Genomic DNA, 23,982 nt, shown 5'->3' with positions numbered 1-23,982 from the left:
AAATTTACACCTTTTTAAATTATAAAGCTTAACAATAAAAAGGCAACCTTTAGGTACTCCCACGTGAACAAGAGGTTTAGTGTATCTTTCCTGAGCTCCTGCTTATCAACGAATGCCTCTCAATTGCCTTTCCACATAACATATAAGGAGGAAGCTCAGTAAGTTCTTAAGTCACCATCTTTTCTCCTCAAAACTCTACTAAAATCAATGCACTATTTTTTTTTTTTTTTGGCATTTATTGCTAGAAAGGAGAAGAAAAACAACTTTGTTCCCTGGTAGCTAATATCTTGCCAGATATTTTGGCAAGGTACTTTAACATTATTCTTAAATAGAAATGCCCAAACATATTTTTCATTGATTTCACATGAAAAATACGGCAACACTTTCAAATCTGCACACGTGCATGAAAACTTCTTATAATGATGTTGTTCTATTTCACTTGGTTCCCTGTTTATCAACACTTGTAATTCTCCTGTTAGATATTCTCTCTATATATCTTCTCCCTCATTTTATGTTTTTATCCTTTGGATTCCAAAGAGCTTTATCTTGTTTCTCCTTCAAAACACAGACTTTATTTTCAGCTCATTACCCCCTTACACATGAATTTTAATATGCTATTACATTTTTAACTTAGTCTTTTTTTTATTGTTTCACTCCGATTTCATCCCATCTTACTGTCTTTTCATCTCATAACCGCCTGACTACTTTCTGTCCCTTTCATGAGGGACAGAAATAAATCATAATACTAAGTGGAAATACTATAACAGAAATAAATTATAATCAATCAGTTCTGGAGGTCTACTCTTCTTTCAAATCTCCAGTATGATCTCCCTTTTTCTTTTATAGATGGACATGGTTCAGTAGGCTCGGTTAGGTTTTTCCTGTTTATCACTAAACAAGGAAAGACCTACCCATGCCTGGTGACTGCTCTGAGCTAAGGGATCCACTTGGGTGCTAGTTATTTGGCAGTCTGAGATGAAAAGGCCAGTTCCAAGGTGGTTTTCATTTCAACATGGTTTTGGTTAGCCTGAGAGAAAAATCTCCTGCGTTCACCGCCTGACTTTCTGATGCTCTGAGTGATGGAGAGCCTGTAATACTCAAAACCCTCAGTGAACACAGGTCTTTCTAACTCTACCCCACCTTCAGCACTTTATTTTCATGGATCAGGATTCTCAGAATATAACAGTAATAGCCCCTAACTTACCATTCCAGCTCTCTCTGGTTATTTTCTAAGTTGTGACCTCCTACTGATTAGAAAGGCTCTGTCGGAGAGGACAAGGAAGAGGGGGGAAGAGCATTCCTGAGGACAGTTCCCTGGGCCCTTTCTGAATTATGGACAGAGTTAGGGAAGAGATGGGTCTGCCCTGCTACTTTTAGGTAGTCAAAACTTATCCTATATTTTTTAACCCCGGTTCTGTTGAGTTTACAGTAGGCATTTCTTCCCACTAATTCTAGTTTTATGTGTTAAGAATATTTTTTTTTTTCTTCCTATCTTCTTAGGAATTGTACTGAGAAGAGGCTCTCTCGGAGACTCTCAAGAAGCTGTGTCAGGACTACCAGTCAGAGGCCTTTTTAACTCAGAAAACATTTAAAGTTTTTTTTTTTTTTTTCAATGGGAAAATAAGTAAATAAGTAAAATTTCTCAACTTCGCATTCGAGAAGTTCTGCTGGCACTCACTACCTTTGAGAGACTATCTCTGGGCAATGTCACACTGTCCTATTAGACATCTGAAAATAAAATTCACCTGTGCCTTTCCCTTACCCCCTCAATCACCCCTCTGCCCTTGGAATTCAGGTAACAGAAACACAAATGTTATAAATTTGGCAGTGGCCAACTTTCCTGAGAAATATGGTTTGGCATTCAAAGGAATTTGGCAATTTGTACTCAGTCTTTTTAAATGGCATTTACTGCTAACCTTGACATAATTCAGGTACAAGACTTCAGATTCATCTGAATCAACTTCAGGTTTCTTGTTTTTATGGACTTCAAGCAGCTGCTATCCACAGACCAAAACACACAATTCTTATGCTGGATACCCTCAAGTTTTTGGCTTTTAAGCAAGTAATAACTCCAGTCTGTGCTCCATTTTAATCAAAATGATATAATTATGAGTCTGAAATAAGAAAACTTGAAACTCAGGGAAACATTTAAAGCAGACATTTAACTTCTTCAAAAACAACAGAAACGAAGGTAAATCTATTTATCAAGGTTATAAAACTTTTGAGTTATCTGATCATGGTGTATTTCTTCCTGAGAAAAATTGCATTTACATGCACATACCCAAAACTTTGTCTTAGCTTCATGGCCTTATCCGTCTCTTTGTAATTCAATCCTTTCAAATATTTACCAGACATAAGAAAATGTTGTAAGTCACATATAAATTGGAGGTAAATTTCTGGAGTTGCATGAATGTAATAGCTAGTGAAACCTAACAGATAAAGCAGACATAATTGAAGACCACCCAAAAAGCAAAATTCAGTTACCGATCACTTCACAAGAGACTGCTTAAGGAGATCCTCATGACTGCCTGCCTTGCCCAAAATGTTCTTGAATCTTATCAATGTGCCATCACTATGATATTTTTTAATATGATCACTTTTTAAATATTTACACAATCACATGACCTTCAGTTTTTAAATCTCAAAAACGGTTATAGGGCCAGGCGTGGTGGCTCATGCCTGCAATCCCAGCACTTTGGGAGGCCGAGGTGGGCGGATCACAAGGTCAAGAGATCGAGACCATCCTGGCTAACACAGTGAAACCCCGTCTCTACAAAAAATACAAAAAATTAGACGGGCGTGGTGGCAGGTGCCTGTAGTCCCAGCTACTCGGGAGGCTGAGACAGGAGAATGGCGTGAACCCAGGAGGCGGAGCTTGCAGTGAGCCGAGATCGTGCCACTGCTCTCCAGCCCGGGCGACAGAGCGAGACTCCATCTCAAAAAAACAAACAAACAAACAAAAAAAGGTTATAATATGCCATCTTTGCAGGGTGGTTGTGAGCGTCAAATGAAAAATGTCTATAAAATGCCTGGCAGGGCCAGCGTGGTGGCTCGCGCTGGTAATCCCACCAGTTTAGGAGGCCGAGGTGGGTGGATCACCTGAGGTTAGGAGTTCGAGACCAGCCTGACCAATATGGTGAAACCCTGTCTCTACTAAAAATACAAAAATTAGCCAGGCGTGGCAGCATGTGCCTGTAGTCCCAGCTACTTGGGAGGCTGTGGCTGGAGAACTGCTTGAACCCAGGAGGCAGAGGTTGCAGTCAGCTGAGATTGAGCCACTGCACTCCAGCCTGGGCAACAGAGCAAGATTCAAAAAAAAAAGAAAAAAAAAAATGCCTGGCAGAATAATTAGCAAAGAGTAAGTTTGCAAATGTTTAAGGTTCATTTTGAAGAAGACATTTTCAATAGTTAAACAGACCCACAGGGAAGTGTAAGACAAAAACTATAATATGTACTTTGATATACTCTAACCAAATTCATTATATCTCATTCCTTGGTACTCCACAGATATTCCTTATTATTTAGCAATAAAATCATCTTGTTCTAACTTCTTCAAATACTTCTGAATCAAAAATAAACTTACTTTTTGCTACCTGAAAGAACATGGTGAGATTTAATTAACAATGTGTAAAATGCTTTGAAATTATGCATTAATGATGCCACAAATATTCAGCTATGTTTCTATAGTTGGGAAACAAGAATGCAAAAAAAAATTCAAATGAACTGTTTACTGATAAAAAATTCTTAAGCATTGAAAATTATTTATTTATTTATTTATTTATTTATTTATTTATTTATTTATTTTGAGACACTTTCACTCTGTCACCCAGGCTAAAGTGCAGTGGCACAATCTCGGCTCACTGCAACCTCTGCCTCCCAGTTTCAAGCGATTCTCCTGCCTCAGCCTCCCTAGTAGCTGGGATTACAGGCATGCACCATCACACCCAGCTAATTTTTGTATTTTTAGTAGAGATGGGGTTTCACCATATTGGCCATGCTGGTTTTGATCTCCTGACCTCAAGTGATCTGCCCACCTTGGCCTCCCAAAATGCTGGGATTACAGGTGTGAGCCACTGCACCTGGCCTCAAAAATTATTTTTTTAAATAGAATAAAAATAAAGCCATCAGTGTTTAAGATTAACAATAGCTAAAAAGTTAACATATTATATCTAATATCATAAAAATTAATCTTATTACACCCTTGAGTAGTTCTGAAAACTGCATTTTACCAAAAACCAGTAGCAGGCTAGAACCAGTGCTTGCTGTGGCACTGGTCCCATGTGCCAAGTCTGAGAGCATTATGTCAATTTTCTTCTTTAGGAGAAAGCTTGGAAGATGACAGTGACAACCCCAGACAGTCACTCTGACTTCACAATGCAGCCTTGTCTAATGCCTATGCTAACATGTTACCTCTTAGGTAGATTTAGAGGGGTCTGAATAAACAAATGTTATAACCATCACTCTCTACTTACCTTGGAAAATTTAACAAATATATATGAAACAAATCTGTAGGAACTCTCAGTACAGATCATGTCAACGAGTTTAGCGCTACTGCACAGATACTGTTCAAATGAGGCAGTAAGTCTCAAACCAGTTTAGATACCAGCAATTGCTAACTGCCCACCAACAGAAGTAGAGCCTAAATATTCACACTGGTGAAACATGTCTTAAAACCATACACCGCATGCATCTGCAAAAACTTGATACCAGGTGGGCACTTTCATAAGCAATAATCCCATACAATCCATGGACCAGTCTCCAATCAGATCGTGCAATGAGGTCATGTAAGTACATCTTTCCAACCATCCTAGGTTGTTTCTCTGCATAAATCCTCTCACTACATTCCCTTATTCTCATATACAGGGCTTCTGGGTTGCATTATTGGGGAAACACTACTAGTGAGAACCAATTTTTCTGGGTCTTATTTCTCCGACAGTTCTTCTGATTGGGAAGAGAAGGATTAAAACAAAAACTGCTGAAACTCAAAAGAGACAGCATTTAGCTTCTCATCTTACAATTAGAGAACACTGGAACTAGAACGTTAAGGAATTTATAGAAAGCAAAGCAATGTGGAATTTCTGATTCAAATAATATATCACAGATTTATATTTCATTTATGCCTATATTCTTTACGATCTTGGATATCAGATTTGATCATCAAATTACGTCTCCTGCAATACGCTGTAATAAATTCACAGTTATAACTTCAAAATGAATCAAACTGTGACAGGACAGAATAATCTATAGGCATTACATAATCTACCAACTGAGAATAGATAGACAGACAAATACAAATACATCGCAAACACCTCCAAGCAAGAAACAGTCCAGAGAGGGTATTCCTGAAAATCACAGCCATGCCTTAGGTGGTATAAAGCCATTGGGAGAAAGTTCTGCATACATAATTAAACAAAGGTTTGCAGCTGATTTGTTTTGTTTTTAATTGCAAGGATATATTTTAACAATGTATACACTATGTTATCCATTATATAACAATGTATACCATGTTTTGTTTTTAATTCAAAGTTATATTTTAACAATGTTTCTACTACAATTCCACGTACTGTTTGTATACTGCATGGAATTTTCATAGTAAAAATAAAATATTACATAAATTGGTAAGAAGGAATAACACATTTATAAAGTAGTCTGATATTCTGTTAAACAACTTGACATTTTAGGTACACTATACCCAAGCAATTGAAATAAAGCCCATTTCTAGTTCACTTTGTCCCCCTCCATGTGTCCTCCTCTATTGAAAGCCTAAGGACTGCTTTGATATCGAATGCTATAAACTCAAGACCTCAAAACATTCAGATATAATCCATCATGCAATTATGCTCCTCATTTCAAGCTATCACACCATGTTATCTTCTCCTATCTGAGACTTCAGACCAGTGCTACATCCTTCCCCATGGAAATCTGTTAGCAACAAAGATACACATATATGCAAGAGCCAGCTGTACTGCTAACATCTGTTTGGTTTTTACTAATCAAAACATGGATATGTAAATGATGTCACATTTGGCACTCTTATTTGCCATAGGTAAAAAATTCTCCCCTTTTTGGGTGCTACTTAGCAGATGTAAGTCAGCATTTGTTGTTGAATTTCAGAATTTCTAATTTTTTTTCTAACTCAGAGAAGAAATTCTTACTAATCAGAATGTCTCTTGTTGTAGACAAAGATGCATCACCTAGAAACCAGAGAAGACTGACATCAAATTTATCAAAGAATCTATTGACAAGTTAAATAGAGAGTTCCATATTTATAACAAAGAAAATTGTATTAGAATATCAACATTAACTTAGTTGCCAGAAAACAAAATATGCTCCCTCTAATTAAATAACTCCTATTTGAATCAGAGGTGTGTGAGGGCTTTACTTAGGATATACATATAAGGACACTGGACCCTTTTCCCATTTTTGAAAAAAGAACACAGAAAGAAGTGTATAGAACAGAAGCCTTAACAAAAGCATCTGAACAAACATTTCACTTAAATAAGAAAATATAACTTGCCTACCATAACCCTGTGATTCTAAAGGACAGAGGCAGAAACAGACACCTGGCAGAAAGCTTCTTCTCCTCAAATACTGTCTTATTCTGCAACCCTGGACTTAACTGTCACCGCAGCTCTAGGAGAGCAGTTCAAGTGATTCCCTTCAAATAACAGACTGAGGGAAGGAGGGAGAAATGCCTTCCTCTCCCCTCTGGGTAAGAGAGCCTCCCTACTCACAGGCCCCTCAGAGCGTGCCTGTGAATTCCTAAAGTGGCCAGGCCAGCTCAGGGTAAGAACCCTCCTGCAAAAAGCAATAAAAGTGAGCATCCTGTCTCTTTTTGTCAATTTCATTTTCAAAAAACCACGGATACACAAATCGCTAATTAGGGCTACTTTCCTTTCTCTTACACATTTTTAGGGAAACAAAGTTAACAGAAAAAATGTTTTTAAAAAATCAAGAATGTATTGAGAATATAAATGCTCATGAGAGGGTGAACTGTGTTGCAATAAGTAATTTAATATGCAAATGACATATTCTGTGACCCTAAGTGGTTAGGCTAATCTGATTTTATTCAAAATAATTAGCACATTTGTTTTTTCCAGACACACTCTTTAATCAATTATATTTCAGTAGAAATATATTTCATTTCCTACTGAAACACAGAGGGCAAACACTTAAATTTTCATGCCTGGGTAAAAATCTCCATAATGTCCTGATGAACTTTTCTTGTGGTCAGAAGTTAGAGACAGAGCTCAAAGGCCCTTATCTTCTAAGATCCTGTAACTGACCCAACTTTCTCGCAAAAACAGAGTGGTCGATAGATGCAGAATGAGCAGTCAGCACCATAAATTGGGTGGTTTTCCCCATCACTTGGGCTTAACAAGACAAACCTCCAAGTTCACAGCAAAGACTTAAGTAGGAAGGAAGAGTGAAGAATGTTATGAGAAAGTATATTCTGAAAGAAAACAGAATTCGTAAAGGCAGGAATTTGTGAAGCAAAGCAAATTACTTGCACAAGCACTATTTGCCTCAAGGAGACAGCGTAGGTTATGACCAACGGGCTCAGCAGAGGTGTGTAATTTGGGATCAGGTCACTATTTTCTGTGACCTCTGTACAGTGTAGTCAATGTTTGTGATTTATTGCAGCCCTGCTTTCTGGACAGGGAACAACAACCATGAAGGGACACTCAAATGCTGAATGTGAAAAATTTAACAATAACATGCCTTGGGAAACCATGAAAACCAACACCAATGGTGGCCTTTTTCTTTCTGTTTAAAAGGGATTTTGATCAAAATTTAGCGTAAGCCATGTCAAATGCATGCTTTATGTCTTAGGTTTGAAACCAGCTGAAATCCACTGTCAGAGGCTGCAGGAGGAGCCAGGGAGGGTTGTGCAGGTCAGGATGGAGGTGGGTATGCAGTAAGTAATCTCTTGTGTTAGCAGGTTTCACTGCACTGCACAAACTAACATGGGCACAGACTCTCACCCGTCTAAATATTCTGCATTAGCATGACTTTAATTAAAGGATCTCAAAGTATGAGTTAAAACCACTGTCTTGAGAAATAGCCCCACTGGATGGCTTACATATGACAGAGGAATATATTTTTATTCCCATATCCCTATATCCCCATTTTCAATCAACTCATTTCGTTGTGTACAAGAGAAAATACAGGACCCTGGCTGAATGGGGTTGGTGTAGCGGGATGGGATGCCAGGATCTGAGCAAGCTAAAGCAGAAAGAGCCATAAGATTGCCTTTCAATAGCTGCCTCACCCGAGGACATGTAACACCCACCTTGCACACCCAGCACACTCTTTATCCAAACAAAACATGGAAGAGGTTCTCTCCGAAGAACATAACATAGGGCTCTACTGGCTTGTAGAAAAATAAAATAAAACGTCATCCTCATATTGGCAATTTTAGCCCCCATGCAAAGGGAAGGAGATAAAAGGATGGGAGAAAGGGCACAGAATTTGCCCTGAGGATATTCGCTGACCATGACAGCCCCTCTACTCACTTGGCTTAAGTGACTGAAGGTACTATCAGCTTAATGCACTTTCCCACCAGCAGAACTACCTGTCCCAGGCCCTGGGAAGAAAATAAAGAGTTCTGGAGACATACCAGGCAATGGTTAAGGCCAAGGCAGGATGCCTCAGATGAAGGATGTGGATAACAAATAAGCTGTTATTTTCTAAAACAAGATGGGCCATTAAGCTTTGTATGACTGCACATGACATTCAGAGCACGTGGTCAATTTCAAAAGCAATGCAGAAAGTGAAATAGCTGTAGGATGAGCTGCAGCAGCACCTGTTTACCAGCATGTTGGGAAACTACCACACTGTCCTAGGTACTTAGGATAATGGGGGACCACAAAGATCTCTCCCCTTATGGAGCTTAAAATCTAACAGAGGGAACAGTCAATGAACAATAAACGTAATAAGTAAACGATATCGTGGGTTAAGTAATCAATGATTTGCAAAAGCAGAGAGGTAGGTCCCAGCATAGAATAGCGTGAGTAGAGCCAGACTCCATGAGACGAAAGATTTGAGCAGAGAAGTGAGAGTGGGTCAGTCAGGCAGATGTCTAGGGGAAGAGCTGTACTAGCAGAGGAGAAAAAGCACAGCTCCAAAGGTGGAAGAGAGGCATGAGAGAGCATCTCAGGGCATGCTGGCTCTTGAGCCTTGATTTCATCTTTTATCTTTGCTTTCCAGCACAAAATAAGGACTCAGACCATGCTTACTGAATGTATTTAAGTCCAAAAACATCCAAAATTATCCAATTAAAACAATTCATTCAATCTATATGCCAGGGCTTCCTAAAAACTGCATGCAAAATGTATTGGAAGAAAGTACAGTGCCGTATATAAGATTTCCTAATGGGTTTTTGACTCTTTCTCTCAAAAAGTTAAATATCACAGCTTTATTTCCAAGAACATACAAGCAAAGTGGAAAAGTAAGACACTATCGTACAGGGAGGAATCTCTCACAGAACGTACTCTTGGCCAGAGTCTAAGGACAATTTCCTTTTAAAAACAGAGAGGGCAGCAAGGCTCAGCAGGACACAGACACACAATTGGCATGCAGGCTGTCCTCGCACCCTCTGTCTACCCTGCTGCCCATTAACGAGGTGTGCCAAGTCCACAAAACAAAACTGCATGTGGTTCCTAGACCTGGGGTGGGGGTTGGTGAGGAATAACCTTCTAAATGCAATAAACACAGCATAACATGAAAAACTGGCTAAGTCAGGTGGAGGTGGAGGGTGTTAAAAGGAAAAAAAAAGAAAAGAACTAAAGAATTCAATTATGGTAAGAATAGAACAGAACTATCATTTCTTGCCTTCACACAATTTGTCACTGCAAAAGCTTTTCAAAGAAATACAAACGGAGGCAAAAGAAACTAGTCTCACAGGTTCTAACATATAAAATTTGTCCTTATAACTACTTTCCATATGAATTCAACATGCAACTCATAGGAGCTATTGAATTCTCGCTTCATAGGAATATTTAAATGAGAATACAAGACCAACACTTCTAGAAAATTGAATGTTTAGTATTATACTCCCCACATGACCCCCCCCCAACACTCTCCTTTCAATCTTTCAGTTATTACTAATTTCTCATTTATATTCAGGCTCTAATACTTTTATGCACATTATCATGGGTCTCTTTCTTGAATTCTGCTAAAAATTTTCATTTCACTCCATCTTTCCATGTATTAAAGAAAAATGAAAAAGCTGCTAAAAATCTCAATTGTCATCACATTACATGAGAAAGCAAGCATTATAAAATAGTTTAGGATATAAAAAGAGAAAATGACTTTTCCTATAAGGAAAGACTTGCTTTTCTGTACACCAGAGCCAAAGAAACTTGCACCTGATAGCAATTATCAAATGCAAATTTTGTTTAGAAACTGCTTTTATAAAATTGTTTTGTAACTAATCTTGACAAGGTGCCCTTATTCCACCTTTTAAATAATCTTCTCTAATTCAACTATTTTTATGATTCTGTAAAGCTCTGTATTCTCGGAAAAATTAAATCACTTTTCCTTTGGAATTAGGCTACTGAAGAAAGCGTTTTTAACTTAAAAAAAATAAAAGGTGAAAATATATAACTTGGTGGAGAAAAACGATTACGTATGTATCTTCAATCTGCTAAGTGCTGCAATGGTTGATAAAATCACTTATGTATGTGCGGAGAGTCATGGTTTTTTGATTGATCTGCAAAGAAAAATTAACTTTGGCTTTTGAACAATATAATAAAAGATATTATTTGAACATTATAAAGTATAACATTTATGAAATAAGTATCCCTTTGGGCTGGGTATGGGAAAGAAAAGGGCTTCCCTTCAGGTATCATTAATAAATTCCTTGATTTTAACACAATATTCCCAATCTATTACTACTCAATACTGAAAGGCAGCTCTTACCCTTGCATTCTGTTTCTCTGTTCTCATTGTCTTATTCACTTGTGTTAGAATAAGGCAACATTAAAGAAGGTATAATAGCTTACTAGTGGTATCAGAATCTCTTCCAGAAATATCCTGTGATGCCAGTCAGGTCTCCTCAATATATAACTACTGCAGTTAGGCCCACCCATCTTAAACCATTCCTTCCCATTCCCTTCTTAGACCCTAAGAAAGAAGACTACACAAGAGAAAAAAGAAAAATGCGTGTGATTTACTAGTGAGGAAACCGGTATTTGACAAAGCTGATAACAGCAAAGCTGAGCATAAGGCTTGTCTCTGTGTGAAACCGAACAGAAGATAAACCTTAAAGACACAGCTGTGCCTGAAGCGCAAGTATGGACCATCTCCAATAAGCAATAAGTGGTTTTTGAATGAAGGTGGTTTCCATTTAAGCAAAGTATTCAGTGAATTTTTCTTCCCCCTCATGAAGGCGAACCAGACTATAGGCATTAATGCTACAAATGACACTACCCACAAAGGAAGTGAAATCCCTTTACTTTTATACTAACTATAGGATTGGGTTTCAGCTTTGGCCACAGCGATCCTGGAGAGGAAACCAAGAGGTAGATACCAGGTTATAAAAACAATGGTTTCTTCTCAGCCGAGTTCTGTGGTCATTTTATTACTCTCTACATTTTTCCATACAAATCATGTTAAATATACTTATATTAGACTTACCCTCCACTTTCCCAAAATTATTATTAGATATACACAGGTTGAGTATTCCTTATCTGAAATGCTTGGAACCAGAAGTGTTGTAGATTTCATGTTGTTCTGGATTTTGGAATATTTGCATTATACCCCTTGACCACTGAATCTGAATTCTGGAATGCTCTAATGAGAATTTCCTTTGGGTGTCAAAAAATTTTGGGTTTTTCAGCATTTTAGATTTCATATTTTCAGACTAGGAATACTCCGCCTATAATGCCAATTACAAAAATAAGAAATATAGTAGATGTTTAATTCAATGACAACTATAATAATAGTGTTCAACGACACTCACTAAACAGGTTCTCGGATACTGTGTCCCTATTTTTATAACAACTTCCAACCCCACAAACACAAATTTCTAGTTGTGTAATGATTGACCAAGCTTTTATGCACCACACATCAATTCAGGTGCAGTTGCCAAGGTAACTTCTGCCCAGAACATAACGACTCAACCCAAACTTAAGACTTTTCCTTAAAAAGAAAAAGAAAGGGAGTCATTAAGCAACCACTTATCAATACTGACCTTGTTGTTCAACATCTGCTTCAGTTTTCGAAGAACCTGGTGCAACAGGAAGAGGCCGAGGTGGCCGGGGCTTTGGTGTGGGAGGCGAGATTTTTTTCCTTCCAATATATTCTACGTAAGTTCCCGGAAAGTCCCCCCTTTCCCCTGTGGTTTCATTATAGCCATTTAACCAGCCAATTTCTTCAGGCCTGGCTTCCTGTCCATCACTGAATCCAAGAGCTACTAAGGACCCTTTATTCACAGTCAATATGTCACCCAAGTGCAAGTCAATATCTTCTTCTCTTTCCTTTTTATAATCATACAGCGCTCTGTACTGGTACCCCTCAGCACTCATGTTTGCAAATCTGCTACCATGCAACAGTTGAGCCTGGTTGTACAGAGCAGTCTGATTTTACGTTTTTATGAAAAGTGAATTCAGAGAATGTGTTAGAATTCCTATTATGTGTCCAGCAGAGGACAAAGGACCACTCTCCAAAGGTTTAAGAGGAGAGGTGACTGGCCATACGGCTGTCCATCTGTCCTCCATCAATGGTGTGACCGAAGACAGGGCTCCACTTCCTCTGCGTGCCACAGTCCTCTCACTGGCTTCCTTTTCAGCAACTTGTCAACACTTTGAATCCAGGCTGACTCTCACAGCGAGGCCCAATCCTTTCTGACACTTTTGTCACACTGTCCATCTGTCGTCTGATTGTACCGTGGCACTCCACACACGAGCTTCACCTAGGAATGAAAAAAACGAGACTTAAGAATGAACAGCACACTTTGCCATCTGTGTTAATTGGAATTTCTACTTCCATTCAACAAGTACTTAATCGATTTGGCAGACAGACACAGGCCAGTGTGCTATTGCTTGACACAACAGAGATTAGTAAGGCAGTCCCTGCCTTCTAAGAACACCGGGCGGGGGCAGAGGGGAGGAGTGTCGGCATGAGGCAATGTCTTAGCGATAATGTGACATTATCGCTGATAATGTGGCTCAGAGTACACAGAGCCACAACACTAGTACATGTCATAAGAGAGGCAGAAACTAAACACTGCAGGGTTCAAACGAGGGAGAAAGCACACTAACTGCAGGAATCTGAAGACAGAATGGCATGTGTGGTCGGACGCTAGTTACAGAAGTGACCAAGAAAATGTCATATTCTGAGAAGAGCTAGAACAGGCAGTCCAATCCGTCTGGAGCCAAAGAGGGAGCAGTGGGATTGGGGTTAGAGATTTAGGTAGGGGCTGTAGGACATCACGCATGCCCATGCTGAGTTTGTGAGTAATTCAGCCCACAGTGTGGAACACGGAAAGGGCTTGGTGAAAAGTGAGCAACGGGATCAGAGCTGCACTCCAGGAATATCAATCTAACCACAGTGTGCGAGAAAGGTGTGTTGCAGAGGTCTGGCCAAGAGGTAGTGAGGACACAAACCAGGGTGGCAGCAGCAGGTGTGGAAAGGGGAGGAGTGAAATAAACACTGCAGAGAAAGAACATGTGGGATGTGGCAAATGCTTAAATGTGCGGCGAGAACGAGAGGAGCAAAGGGTGCCTGATCCTGCATTAATGAGAGTTTGGAGCACTATCAGGCAAAGAGAAGCCAGGTGACCTGATGGGCTGACGGTGATTCTGGGCACCCCTGTGCAAGTGTGCTAGTGGCTGATGAAACCCTGGTCTGTGATTCAGAAGAGGAAACATGCTAGGGATTTGGCAATCGGCCACAATTAGGCAAGGCTGAATTCAATGGAATGGAAGAGCTCACAAGGACAAATCAAAAGTTAAAAAAAAAAAAAAATGATCCAAGGGCCAAATAGTGAAGTTCAATGTATGTAACTGAGGAAGGAAAGTCAAGGTTTAGAGACAACATCCCAAAAACAAGGAAGAAGAGTTCAAGTAGGAAAATGTGATCCCTAAGACTAAATCCTGCAAAGGCATCCAGACAGGAGAGACTGAGTCAAGGCTAAATAATTTGGGGCTTCGCCCATGATGGAATCATCACGCAGATTCCAGTCCAGCAGTGAGGACAGCAACAACATCTTAAGGAGTTAAAAAATATTAGAGAGGAAGTAGCAATGGTTGCTACAGACCACTCTATAAAGACAGCTTGATGGAGGAAATGTGAAATGTAAGTGTTTTTCTTTTTTGTTCTTAAACATAGTGGAGGCAAGGGAATTAGAGAGTTACTAAGTCAGAGTAGATGGCTGAGAACGGCATGTACACATATACACTTTGTACTCCAGGCATTTCTCAATGTTATCTTTATTATAAAGAGTAAAAGCCACCCAAAGGTTTCAGTTAAGCTGGCTGCACAATAAAGCAATAAAAACAATAGCCACACAATTTCAGTGGGCTATATCAAAGAGAGCTTTTATAAGTTTTAAAGAGTGGAACACTTTAGAAGTTTAATATTACAGGCACTCGTCAGTGGAGGCATCTTAAGAAGCAAAATCTAATCATAGATTAATTGTTATGTTGGCATTCAGAAGTGTAAAGTATTCAACTTTACATGGGTAAAGCCTCTTAGCTGTAATACAATAACACACTTAGGAGAGTTACATATTAAAAGAAGCAAAAACAAACACTGGAAGTCTTTGTGGAGCAAGAATATTAATTGGGGATAGTACTCTACTTCGCATTTCAGTTGTCGGAGAAAAAAATCAAAGCAACCAATAGAGCATATCAGAAAAATAAGCTATATTATTTGTTTAAAGAAAGCCTTTCCTTTTGAAAGATCCAGAATCAAATTGAATATTCACTGCATAAATTCACATGAAAATGTAGAACTAGCAAATCTCATTTTTAGTACTAATGTACTCTGTACAAAAGAGACAGAGACCTCTAAAGAACATGAACATTTACATATCCCTAAATGCTTAGAAACCAGGCAATGTGCCTAAGAATAATTTAATTCCTCCAAATCTGCCTTGAAATTTTTGTTAGCTTTTCCTGGCAATGTATGTCTTTTAGGGGGGAAAAAAAAATCCTCAACCAGTAGGCTGGGTAGATCTTTATGCCAGCTGCTTCCTAACACTTCCTTTATTCCAGCCACCCAGTGGGCCAGTTTGGTGGGATTCTTAATAGAATGGGAAGTATAATGAACAAACTCTTCCCCATCTTCAATCCTCCAGGAACCATCAAGCAAGCCCCTGCTCACAGCTTACCTCTGAAGCTGTTCCTTGCCAGGGGGCTCTGTATTAAGAAAAGGCTCCAGGACTTGTCAAGGTTTTACAAACCTAAAAGCTGTGCTTGAGTCTGCCTGAGGCTAAATTTGTGCAAAGGGAAATAGAAACCTAAGGAACATGATGACTTTTAGAGGCTAGACACCAGAGAGGCAATCCCTGTCTGAAGTGACAGAGAACTAAAGGTCTCTACAAATTCTCTCTCCCTTGCCACCTGTAAGAAGAACCTTACTTTGTGGGTAAGAAGAACCCTGTGCAGAACTCTGGGTCCTCATCTGATAAAAAGAACCACAAATCTTCTATGACTCTAGGATGGTAAATAGAACACACCATTTCTGTCTTCTGAGACCCCAAAGTAAGGCCAGGAAGATGGATACAAACAGGGCATCCATCCATTGATGCAGACGTTAATTCAAGGCCAGCCATTAGTCAGTGTCAATTAAGTGGTCTGAGGGCAATGTTGTGGAAAAAAAAAAAAAAGGAGAGCAGTCAAGTCATTGGGGTGGGGACTGGACAGCATGGTGATAAGATGTAGAGAGCCCTTAGCTAGACAGAGAAGGCAGCCACCCCTACTCTTTTGCACATTGTACACTTTCTCCTGACTGCCATGTCCATTTTGACGTCTGTCATTCTTGAGGACTGAATGGGTTAATCCACATAAAACTCCGGTTAAGTATTGGGTGATGATGATGATGATGATGATGATGATGATGATGATGATGATGATTGAGTTTGTACACATATAGCTCCCAATTAGTATTAGATGATATGATGATGCTGACTATATATAGTTATATACAGTCATATATATATAGTCATATATATAGTCATATATGTATGTGTGTGTGTGTGTAGATAACTATATAAAAACAGGTACTATCAGTAGTCTCACTTAACATAGGACAGAAAATATCTCTGTCACGATAATACTTAGCAATTGCGAAGAGGAACTAGAATTCAGATCCAGGCAGTCTAGCTCTGTAAGTCCCATTTTTAACACCTCCAGCATCTACTGCCTGAACTCAACTTGCTTTGGTGTGGATGATGCAGGTTCGTGGCCTGCACAAGCTGATCACTCCAATTAACCTTAACTGTCTGTCTGCCTCTTTAACTCTCTCAGACAGCGGCTTTACTGATAGTGTATGTGGCTCTTTCACACTACCTGCACACACAAAAAAGCTATTTTAACTCGGCAGTTCCATCAACTCCAAAACCCAGCATCTCAGCCATGCAAATTTTCTTCCAAAGAGACTTCATTAAAATGTGTCCCTGCGAAAGAAGTCCATAAACTAGTGAATAAAAGAATACTGGGCACACCACTTCTGGAAGGCTGCCCACTTCTGGAATCCTGCCTATTTCTGCTCTATGAGCTTCGCTTCTGCCACCTGTATCCTTAGCACCTCTGCCTCCTGCCACTATCCCAGGCCCCTCCACTGAACAATTTCCAATAACCCAGCTCCTCCTTAGGGGGATATGGCACTGCCACAAGGACTGTCACATCTAGAGGACTGGGAAGTTCTCTTTTCTCTCATCCTCAAATTCTTCACAGTACTGCAGAAGACCCAGCAGCCTGAGGTATTTGGTAATACCTGTGTAACCACCACCCCTACCGAGATCGACCTGGAGCCTAAACTATCCAAATCAACAGGATTTTTCCTCAGATTCACTCTATCATGCCTCTATTCTCTTTTGCTACATATACCTGCCCACTAAACTATTTTTACCCAGTTCTGACATGATTATTCACATAGCAAAGGCTTTTTATATGTAGATAACATTATCTACAATGTAATATTTTCAAATAACCAAGGCAGTTTTGTGATATAGGCTCCAAGCTAGTGCATGCATAAGTTATTGTAACAAAGGGTATAAAGGAATCCTACGAACAAGTAAACTAACTTACTCTTATATAATATCATATGCAACAGTTCAAAATTTTAAGGAATTTTTCTCCAGTCTTTCAATCCTTCTAATGACTGCCTGCAATCCCATTAATCAGAAGCATATTTTCTGTCCCTGCTAACATACAGAGAAATTCTCTTTCTATTCCCCAAAATAAAATTGTTTCTGATGTTTGACAAATAGCAATCCACAGCTACTTAACGTACAACTGCTGTAAAGTAGATTTTCTGTGTAACCCTCTAACCTATAGGCATTTTGGCAAAGAGCCAAACAAAAAAGCCCTCTCTGACTTTGTTGAGTTACTCCATTCTCCATTTAGAAATGACAAGAATTTGGAGAACTTGATGGACAGGCAGGAATACAGGATATTTTTAAATCACATTAAATTAATCAAGAATATATCCAAGTCATGTGATTCTATCTCCCAATGAAATTAGCAGTTAGGCATTGGATGGCAGCACGAAATGGGTCTTCAACCAAGGCAGGAGGGTATGGAAGGGTTCCTGGGCCCACAGCCCATATCTCTCTACAGTCCATCTTTTTAACTTCAGTGTGCTAGTTCAGAGTCTAGGTCAAGCTCCTCACCTAAATTCATACAGTCTTTAAAAAAATCATTATTTAAAAATGGTTTACCTTCCAAATCATGGTGTCCCAGAAATCATGAAAATCAAGACGAACAAAATTAAAATATCCTAGTGTCTTAGTCCATTTTGTGTTGTTATAATGGAATTCCTGAGACTGGGTAATTTATAAACAACAGAAGTATATTTGGTTCTGGAGGCTGGAAAGTCCAAGAGCATGGCACTAGCATCTGGTGAAGGCCTTCATCTTATGTCCTCTTGCAAGGGCAAGACAGCAAGACAGGGCCAAACTCGAGTTTATAACAAGCCCATTCCCAAGATAACTAATCTACTCTTGCCATAATGACATTAATCCATTCAAGAGAGCACAGCCTCCTATTAGGCCCTACCTCCCAACACAGTTGCATTAGGGATTACATTTCTGACATGTAAACTCTGGGGGACACATTCAACCCAGAGCACCTAGTAAACATAATAAATTGCCTTCAATTTGAAATGATGAATTTAGGGTGAATTTTATGGTATGTGGACTTTATATCAATTAAAATAAAATGAAAATAATGGGCTGAGATTAACCCCAAATAATAGACATCAAATTCATTTCCAAACCAACCAACTAAATAGAATGTGTTGCATGCTGCCATGCTCAGGGCTGGGTGTGTGGTGTGGGTAAACAGGCTGTATAGGCTGTAATTCTCGCCTACAAGCCCTTTTGGTGTTGTGTTTGTGGGGCGAGGGAGAGGAGAACAGGTAGCACAAGCCCAGGTAACACAACAAGGAGCTAGGGCTCTTCAGAAAGCAGCCAACATGAGGGGAAGGTACTGCAGGAAACACAGAGGAATGACCCTGGCCCAGGTGACAGCAACGCTTAGGCACGCAGTAGCCATTACGCGGAGGCTGGGAGAAAGGGTGACGTAGCTTCTGGGACCTGAGGGACAGACAGATCCTATCACCCAGAAAAGGCCATGAGGCTGACCATTCCGGTTCTCTGCATCATCACAATGAAGAGGACCTGAGGGGGCAGGAATGAGAGGACTGAAGGGGATGACTTCAAGTCTCTCTTCTTTTGAAAAAAAGATGCTATTCTGTAAACTTCTTGGCAAGGTTAGTATGAACACTGAGCTTCAGATTCAGGCAGCTGCCCCAGTCAGATTGTGCCTAAATATGTAACCTCAGGAAAGTTACTTAAACCTCTCTGTGGCACAGTTTTATCATCTGTGAGACAGCTATAAGCAAACCTACAGCCCACAGAGTCATTATGAGGATTAACAAAATGACATACATAAAGCACTTCGCTCCATACTTGATAATAGGAGCTTAGGATAATTAATGCCAACATAGTACTTACTATGTGCCAGGCACATAGTTCTCAGAGTTGTACATATATCAACTCATTTAACCATTACAATCACTCTAAGTACAACAATTATCTCTATTTTACAGATGAGAAAACAAGCAGATAAAAGTTAAATATTTTGCCTAAAGTTACATAGCTAGTAAATTGCAACTATTATATTACTATTATTTCTATTAGTATTGAATGTCACCTACTGCCATTTATACAATTCAGATTTAACAGAGGAACAAACATTTATGAGGGATTTTCTTCTGCATTGCCTCTTAACTCTGCAAACAGTTCTAAGTGAATCCTGAATCTAGCTAAAATAAAACTCCCGCTGTCTTAAACCCCTTTTGGAGTAAATAGATAAAGGCTGAGTGTGGACTTTGCCCATGTAGTTCTCTCCTTACCTGAGGTAGAGGACGGCTCTACAGAGGTCAGGACAAAGGAGGCCTGGGAGAGGCCAAGGGATGTGTACATGTGTGTGTGCATCCCCAGGATTTAGAGATGAGTAGCTGTGTCCTCATGGTACAGCCCTTGATCCTGGGGCAGAACCCCAGGCTGGGACACTGGGACATCCGGGGAGGAAGACAACAGGCAAGGAATGGCTGGTCCAGATGCCTTGGCTTTATTAACTCACTACACTCACTGGTGGAGCCTCCTCACACTGTGGCCAGACTCCTGTGACTTCAATACTCTCTTGGATGATCATTAACCTGACAACTATTTTGACTACAGGTGCCTGTGGATATGTATTTGATTTACTTTAAGGAAAACAATGCTAGCAGAATAAAATCTCCAAAGATGTTTCTACAGTAGACATTTTTTCCAATAACACTATACTACAATCACTCTAGCCTTTCAAATAAATAAACACCTAACACCTAGGGGATAAATAAAGGCCATACAGACAAGTTTATAAGTAACTATATAGTCTATTTTTTCAGCTCATGTGGCTTAATGTACATGAAATGGTCGTTAATTGCCACTCTTTTAAGCAAGTAACTCCATACAAGTATTGGCAGAATCATGGCAAGTAATCACATTAGGGCATTAGGGTGTACGTAAAGGAGGCATGGGAAAATGCAGTAAATGATATGAATACTTTGAAAATTAATTAAAACCTAGGTTTTGATAAAAAGCTGTGATATAATTTATATTCTGCTTTCTAAAGTAAAAACTAACTTGATAATTCCTTCCATTGATAACTAACTTTCTAGTCTTCCAGGGCTTCATTAAAATGCTTCATTCTCTTGCCTTCACTTGCAAACCCTGTGCCCTGCAAGAGGGAGAGCTGGAGGAGCTCATATGAAACATACAATATCTTTTGCATTGTGTATGCCTTGACGTGAGAGAATTCCAAAACCCAACACAAACATTATCTCAACTGGCTATATTCTACTTGAGCATAAAAATCAATTTTTTTTCAGCCTGCTCATTCACCATCTCTTTATTCAATAAAACATGTATTTTGCAAATCACAAAATGCAAACACAATAAAAGCTGAACTAGAATTGTTCCTATTTTAATGATCATGTGAACAATCTTTCAGAGTAGATGCCTTTTTACAATACTCCCCTGAACGACCAATATGTTGATTGAACATATCAATTTAGGTTGATATGTTCAATCAACATATCAACCTAAAAATTATATGACAGTCATGGAAAAATGTAAAGAAATGGCCAAAACTTTTAACAGTACAAAATTTGGGTTAGTTTGAGTAGGTTTGCATTTACAATTCAAAGTCCTTCAAAAATCACGTTAGGTGAAACTGACATTACCAAAAGATAAACGCATACCACCATCATCACTGTCTATAATCAAAATATGTATTCCTATAACTTATTGTTCCACTTCTGTTTCCCAGAACCAACTTTATTCTGTGAGGATTTCCTGCGCTTAGTATATTTAAACTCAAGAAATCGCTAAAGAAAAAACATTCAATAAATGGGAAACAAAATGCTTTTTACACTGACTATACAGCATCATGGATAGGAAGAGACTCACTGATATCATTATTTTTAAAAAGCAGATAAAACATCAAATAGCAGTGTGTACACTGCAGAGTTCTGTTATGCAACTAAGAACAGGTCCCAAGTCAAGATGAAAGTTAAAAGTAAATGCACATTACACTTTGCAAGCCAGTATCAGATACATTAAACTTTCTCCCAATCATAAAAATCTATCCACTTCTCTGGAAAAAGTAATATGATTATCTAGTACCTACCTGCATATAAAAGCTGAAGAGGCAAGCAGTGACAATACCCAGCAGTTCTGCAAGGCAGGGAGCCTCCTCCACTGGCCTTTCCAACTTAAACCTTAACTCTGAACCAACATTTCTTCCCAAACTTTAGCCGCAGGCACGCGCGCGCACACACACACACACACACACACACCCCCACACATTACTCTTATTTTCTTTATACTGGTCAAAAACACTTGCTTCCTAAAGTTTAATCAACTTTTGCACCTAAGAAAACTCTTATCTGCTTTCTTCTAAACGGTTTTTCAAGAACAGTGTAATCTGTCAAAAAGTTGTATAGCTAGTGAGTTGCTTTTTCTTCCTTTTTCAATGTTAAAAGATACTTGTGGCCTTCTGTGCAGAAGTCACCAAATTCCTAGTAATTCAAACTGTGACAATCTAATATTCTAATAACCTGCTTAAGAAATGAACCTGTCTGCCCACTCCAACCCTTCCTAGCTAATATCTAACCATCTTTAAGGTTGCCAAAACGTAACAGAACTAATGAAGCATTAAAATATAACTCCACATCAAGCCTTGACCAATAAGCTCTGTGAATATCCCTCCTGATTACTAAAACTTGAGCCTCATCACACCAAAATGACAATCTTATGTTGCATTCAAAACCCGGAACTGCTTTATCCATTGGTACTTCGCACTGGCTGACAAAGAGGAAAAGAAGAGAAAAAAGAAAAAAAACCTAAAATCATGAAGCCCCCAAATAAAGAGCAGACTCACACTCGGACACCAACAGCGCTGCAGCTCAAGGGATTAACGGTGGAAGTGAGACCTTTCCGATATTAATAGCGCCCCGGGAAACAGAAGAATTCCCCCAAACCCAGTTGACACACATTCTGCATTCAACACGTAACAGCCATTCTGCATATATCCTTGCATTTCAGGCTCCAATTCTGGTTATCAAAGTGTATTTCTGTACAGGAGTGCCTGGCCAGAGGTTTTCTGTTCTCTTTGTCTTGTGATCTGAGGGGCAGTTTCTGAGCTTAGGTTAGAGCTGTGGTTTCCAGAGAATTGCCCACGATATTTTAGCTCCGGGTTGCAGGCTCCCTGGCTCTCCCCAGCCGGCTCCATATTGCTGGGCAGGTCCCTCCCGCCTCGCCCCACGTTCCAAAAGCTGGATTTCCGGGCGGTTCCAAGACCCCACTAAATATGCCTCCAACAACCTGCCCAAGCTTGGCTGGCAATAAACGCTGAGTTAGGGCCCCAGCGACCAACCGCCCCGAGGCGCACTTCCCCCACCCCGGAAGAGGAGGGCGGCAAACTTCGGAAGGCGGGGGTTAGGGGACGAGCTCCGGGGACCACCGCCGCCTCGCCCGCCCCGGGAAGGGCCCGGGCAGCGACCCTGGCTGCAGCTGGAGGGCCACGGGGGAAGGGAGCGCTCCTTCCCGCAACACGAAGGCAGCGGCCAGGGCGCTCTCCTCCGGTGAGGGGCCCCGGAAAACTGCAGCAAGGCGACAGCGGGGACCCTCCGAAGTGTGCGGTGACGGAGGGTGGGAGGAAGCCCGAGCTCGTCGGCAACTCCGGGGGCAAATGCGACCGGCGGCGTGCAGGACCAGCTCGCAGGAGGACGGGGGAAACGGGAGTCAGGATGGCGGGGATCTCACAGGACGCCGGCCGCGCGCGGGGGTAGTGCTGCCCGGCGGCCAGGAGATGCCGGAGGCGGGGAGGGCCGGTGGCCAGCCCGCTTCCCCCCGGCGGGGCTCTGCAGAAGGAGAAGCCGCTGCCAGTGACAGGAAGAGAGTCGCGGCAGCCGTGCACACATGCACCGCCTCCCCCGCCCGAGCACACACACCCGGGGCTGCTGCTGCCTACCTACCCCGCCCGCCGGCTTCCTTCCTCTGCGGGGCCCGCGCTGCAGCGGTGGCCTCCTGCCCGCTCGGTTCCGACCGGCCTCCAGCCCGGCTGCGACCCGCCGGCCGTGCCCGATCCGTGCTTGCCGTCTCCGACAGCTAGCCTGCCGCCCTCGCCGCTGCCGCTGCTTCCTCCAACTCCGCTCCAGCTGCTGGCGACTCCTCTCCGTGCGCCCGCAGCTCCAGCGCCCGGCGCTAGCCCCGCCTCCGGCCCGGCCCCGCGCGCCCCGCCCCCGAGCCCACACCAACCAGAGCCCGCGGCTCCGCCCCTTTCCGTCCGCACGGCTCGGGCCTCCGAGCCGGCGGCTGGCAGTGGGGGAGCGAGCTCAGGCCTGGCGGACCCTTCCTGCCACCGCCCTCGCCTTCCGCCCCCCAGCCGCGGGGATGCCCCGGGCGGCCGTGCCGCGCGCTGCCTCCGCTGCGGAGTGCTCTGGCTCTACACGTCCCGGGCCCGCCCGGCTGCTGGGCGTCTCCCAGCGCAGAGGCGGAGGGGTTCGGGGAGGTCGAAGACAAGTTCAGACCTCCCTGGAGGCTGGCTGCGTCTCTAATCCGAGTGTCTTTCAGCCAACCCCAGGCTTTTTCGAGCCCCTAGCGCCCCAGCAGAGTGGCTGGGGTGGGGAGGACTCGGATTCCAGAGCTCGCCAAAGCGGAGAGGCCCTGCAATTCCTGGTCTCGCCAGCACTGCCTTCCGA

At 41.3% G+C, this 23,982-nt stretch overlaps 1 protein-coding gene across 4 annotated transcripts in view, besides 1 other annotated feature; it reads right to left on the bottom strand.

Moving 5' to 3' along the window:
- PIK3R1 (phosphoinositide-3-kinase regulatory subunit 1) overlaps positions 1-23,450 on the bottom strand; it is an 86,066-nt gene extending 62,616 nt beyond the window's left edge. The window contains exons 1-2 of one of the 4 annotated variants that reach the window (XM_005248542.4): positions 23,253-23,450; positions 12,197-12,916 (exon numbers count right to left, since the gene is read on the bottom strand). In XM_005248542.4, coding sequence (XP_005248599.1) covers positions 12,197-12,530 — 334 coding nt within the window. In that variant the 5' untranslated portion in view covers positions 12,531-12,916; positions 23,253-23,450. Of the gene's footprint in view, positions 1-12,196; positions 12,917-21,407; positions 23,184-23,252 lie in introns of those variants that run through there. The other 3 variants (NM_181523.3, XM_017009585.3, XM_047417315.1) reach the window with 3 other exon arrangements.
- Positions 22,734-23,833: a silencer, noted in NCBI's record as "silent region_16073". NCBI's record gives its function as "represses an Ori minimal core promoter by ATAC-STARR-seq in GM12878 lymphoblastoid cells {active_cell/tissue: GM12878}" and the evidence as "EXISTENCE:reporter gene assay evidence [ECO:0000049][PMID:35858748]".

Source organism: Homo sapiens, chromosome 5 (genome assembly GCF_000001405.40).
Source record: "Homo sapiens chromosome 5, GRCh38.p14 Primary Assembly".
Lineage (NCBI taxonomy): Eukaryota > Metazoa > Chordata > Mammalia > Primates > Hominidae > Homo > Homo sapiens.
The sequence above is the reverse complement of the archived record's forward strand: the minus strand, read 5'-3'. Positions and strand labels throughout refer to the sequence as shown.